This window comes from Homo sapiens, chromosome 20 (assembly GCF_000001405.40).
Source record: "Homo sapiens chromosome 20, GRCh38.p14 Primary Assembly".
NCBI lineage: Eukaryota > Metazoa > Chordata > Mammalia > Primates > Hominidae > Homo > Homo sapiens.
Window position 1 is genome coordinate 56742329 of NC_000020.11, and position 4116 is coordinate 56746444.

Consider the following 4116-nt stretch of genomic DNA (forward strand, 5'->3'; position numbering starts at 1 on the left):
AAGAAGGCCAACCTGTAGATTCCTTGCTAAAAACCACATGGTATTTTACAAGACGGGTTGAGAGGGAGAGCTGGGGCTGGGTGTGGGGCGGCATAGAGCTGGATTCTTGGGGAATCTTCTCCACATTTAATTTAATTTTTGACGCCGAGAGCTTGATCCTGGTTTTGAAGAACTGGAGTATAAGAAGAAAAAAAAATCACATAAATTTAATTAGGACGGAGGAAAGAGATGCTTTTGATCTTTAAGAGACTAAAGCCCCAAACAAGTCCAAAGTGTGTCCCTGGCCTTTAAACTGATAACCCAGGAGGACGGAGGGACAGAGCTGAGGGAATATTTGAGATGGGGCGGGGGGCGAGCGTGGGCTAATGGGTGACCCACAAGCTGACTTCAAAGGCTAGCTCTTTACAAGCAAGCAAGGACACCAGAGGGTCTGTGAGGGGTGCGGGGATGCCTCTAGGGGCTGGGCCTGCAGGAATTTCACACCACCACAAGGCACCAGCGGCAAGAGGGGCTCAGAGAAAGGACTTGAGGCCATGGTCGCACAGGGTCCCTTTGCAGGGGACACCTCCTGAGGGTCGGGATGGGGGTAAGGGCATGAAGGTGGGGCTTGGGAGCGAGGCAGAGATGGGTTCAAATCCCAGCTAGCAGTGCTGGGACAAAGCACATGACTCTCTGTGTTTCAGTTTCCTCATCTGTAAAGGGAAGGTGATTTTAATTCATGATGTTGTTGCAAAGGTGGAGTGAGCTGGTGGGGACAAACAGGCCCAGTGAGGAACAGCCATGGGATTTCAAGATGGAAACAGCTTTACTGTTTTTGTCTGATTCTAACTGGGGTTTCTCAACTCTGACACTCCTAACATTTCTATTGATTGATTGATTGAGACAGGGTCTTGCTCTGTTGCCCAGAATGGGGTGCAGTGGCACAGTCATGGCTCACTGCAGTCTCCTTCTGCCTGGCTCAAGCCATCTTCCCGCCTCAGCCCCACCAAGTAGCTGGGACCACAGGTGCATGCCACCACACCTGGCTAATTTTTAAAATATTTTGCATAGAGATGAGGTTTCACTATGTTGCTGAGGCTGGTCTTGAACTCTTGGCCTCAAGTGATCCTCCTGCCCTAGCCTCCCAAAGTGTTGGGATTACAGGTGAGAGCCCCTGCACCTGGCCACTCCTGACATTTCAATCAGGATCATCCCTAGCATACCCACTAGATGCCAGCAGCAATGCCCAGGCCCCAGCTGTGACAACCAAAAACATCTCCAGACACTGTCAAGTGTCCCCTGTGGTCAAAATCCCCCCACCCCCATTGATAGCCACTGAGTGTGCCTATTGTAAACGAAACAAAAACCAAAAGCAAAGATTGTATCAGACAGAATAGAAGAATATAAAGAAGAAATAAGTATCCAGAGATTCTGAAATAACCACTGTTTCCATTTAAGTATACATTTTTTGGAGATTTTTCTATGTAAACACACACATAGTCTATACATCCAAGTGATATAAATTTAATTTTTCATACAACTGATCATAGGGATATACGATACGTTTTTTTCTTAAATAAAATTTTCACTTTACTGGCTTTTCATAAAAATATCAAAAGGAATGCACACTTATTGTTAATAGGTCAAACAACATACAGGACTGCAGAGAAAAGGAAACGACTCCTTCCCTCCTACTTTGAGTCCTACTCATTCTATACTATTATTGCTAGTAATGACAGCTACTATTTATGCAAAGCTCTCTCGGTGCCACCAAGCAGGTGCTAAGCCCTGGCCACAGGTGTCTCATTCAGGGCTTGCTGCATCCCTCTGAGATGGACACTCTTATTGTCTTTCTAGTTTATGGATGCAGAAACCCAGGCACAGGAGGTTCCCCTCCTGCTTGCTAAGGGCTGGCTCCACGATCTATTACATGCTACACCCATCACAGGCCTTTGCAAGTTTCCTCGCCCTTTGCAGGAGTTGATGCACTCCGTGGAGTCAACCCTTCTGTGTTTTTGTTCTGCTGAACTAGGCTTCCATTTTCAAAAGTATCTCATGGATCAAGATGGCCTTCAGAGCTCCAGCCATCACACTCACATTCCAGCTGTCGGGAAAGAGAAAGGAACAAAGGAAAAAATGAGGAAACACAATACTCTCCTGAGCTTGGAGCTCTCCCCTTAAATCCTTCCATAGAAGCAGCCCCGCTTCCACATCGGTGAAAGAGAAAACCCAGACACTCTGACGTGCTCTCTCTCTCCCTTTTTTTCCTTCCTTCCTTCCTTCTTTCTTTCTTTCTTTCTTTCTTTTTCCTTCCTTCCTTCCTTTCTTTCTTTCTTTCTTTTTCCTTCCTTCCTTCCTTCCTTCTTTTCTTTCTTTCTTTCTTTCTTTCTTTCTTTCTCTCTCTCTCCTTCCTTCCTTCCTTCCTTTCTTTCTTTCTTTCTTTCTTTCTTTTTCCTTCCTTCCTTCCTTCCTTCCTTCCTTCCTTTCTTTCTTTCTTTCTTTCTTTCTCTCTCTCTCTCTCTCTCCTTCCTTCCTTCCTTCCTTCCCTCCCTCCCTCCCTCCCTCCCTCCCTCCCTCCCTCCCTTCTTTCTTTCTTTCTTTCTTTCTTTCTTTCTTTCTTTCTTTCTTTCTTTCTTTCTTTCTTTCCTTCTTTCTTTCTTTCTTTCTTTCTTTCTTTTAGACAGAGTCTCGCTCTTAGTCTCTGTCTCCCAGGCTGGAGTGCAATGGCACGATCTCGGCTCACTGCAACCTCCGCCTCCTGGGTTCAAGCGATTCTCCTGCCTCAGCCTCCTGTGTAGCTGGGATGTGCCACCACGTCCAGCTAAGTTATGTATTTTTAGTCGAGACAGGGTTTCACCATATTGGCCAGTCTGCTCTCGAACTACTGGCCTCAAGTTATCTGCCCACCTCAGCCTCCCAAAGTGTTGGGATTACGGGTGTGAGCCACTGTGCCTGGCCTGACCTGCTCTTTAAGGCCGTTTATGTTCTGTGCACCAGGGCCTGGGCACCGCACAGGGCTTGGTTCTCAGAAAGGCCTGTGCTGGGCTTTGTGCTCTGCTGATACTGTCTAATGGCTCTTGCATGAGGGGCCCCACACTTTCGTGTTGCATTGGCCTGTATCATATCGGGGAGTCACAGAGCTGGGCTTGATGCCACCTCCTCCTTCTCCAGCCCAATCCTTAGTCCCCTTAAGCTTATGATGCCTTCAGGGGGACCAGGACCCCTCAGACCCCCACAGCCTTGTGTTTACAACACTTCAACCCTTTAAAGCAGGATTTGCAAGTACCTGACATGGGCACAAAGGGTCTGGGGAAGGAAAAGTGGGGATCAGGAGCAGCTGAGGTTCCCAGGAAAGCCACAGCCTGCCTCGAGAGGCTGCCTCTCAGATCTGGCCATGGACAAAAGTACACTTGGCTGTGCCACAGCCTTACTGAGGGCAAACATCCAGAGTTGAAGATGAATGTCAGACTCCCAGTGGTTGGCAAAATCCACATTTTTAAAAGCGCAAATCCACATTAGGAGATTTTCTCCAAAAACTAACCTGGATTCTTGAAAAAGGTCGATGTCATAAAAGACAAAAATGAAAACAACAGCAGAACAGTTCCAGATGAAAGAAGACAGAGGAGACGTGACAGCTCAGAGCACAGTAAGGAACGCTACTGGGACAGCTGGGGACATAGGGACACAGGCTGCATGTTAGATAATAGTATGGGTGCTGTTATATAGGTATTAGTGTAAGAATATGCTATCATTATATCATATACATGATACATTTCCCACTAAATAGTTTGAAAGCTGTACTCTAGTTATGTAAGAGAAAATCCCTAGGAGATATATATTGAAAGTTTTATTTATTTATTTTGAGACAGAGTCTCATTCTGTTGCCCAACGTGGAGTGCAGTGGTGCAATCTTGGCTCACTGCTACCTCCACCTCCCAGGTTCAAGCGATTCTCCTGCCTCAGCCTCCCGAGTAGCTGGGATTACAGGCATGTGCCACCGTGCCCGGCTAATTTTTGTATTTTTAGTAGAGACAGGGTTTCACCATGTTGGCCAGGCTGGTTTCAAACTCCCGATCTCAAGTGATCTGCCCTCCTCGGCTTCCCAAAGTGCTGGGATTACAGGTGTGAGCCACCACA

General features: G+C 47.0%; 1 annotated feature.

Moving 5' to 3' along the window:
• Positions 497-996: an enhancer, noted in NCBI's record as "H3K4me1 hESC enhancer chr20:55317881-55318380 (GRCh37/hg19 assembly coordinates)". NCBI's record gives its function as "activates a minimal SCP1, AML or CMV promoter by ChIP-STARR-seq in naive H9 embryonic stem cells {active_cell/tissue: H9 hESC(naive)}" and the evidence as "EXISTENCE:reporter gene assay evidence [ECO:0000049][PMID:30033119]".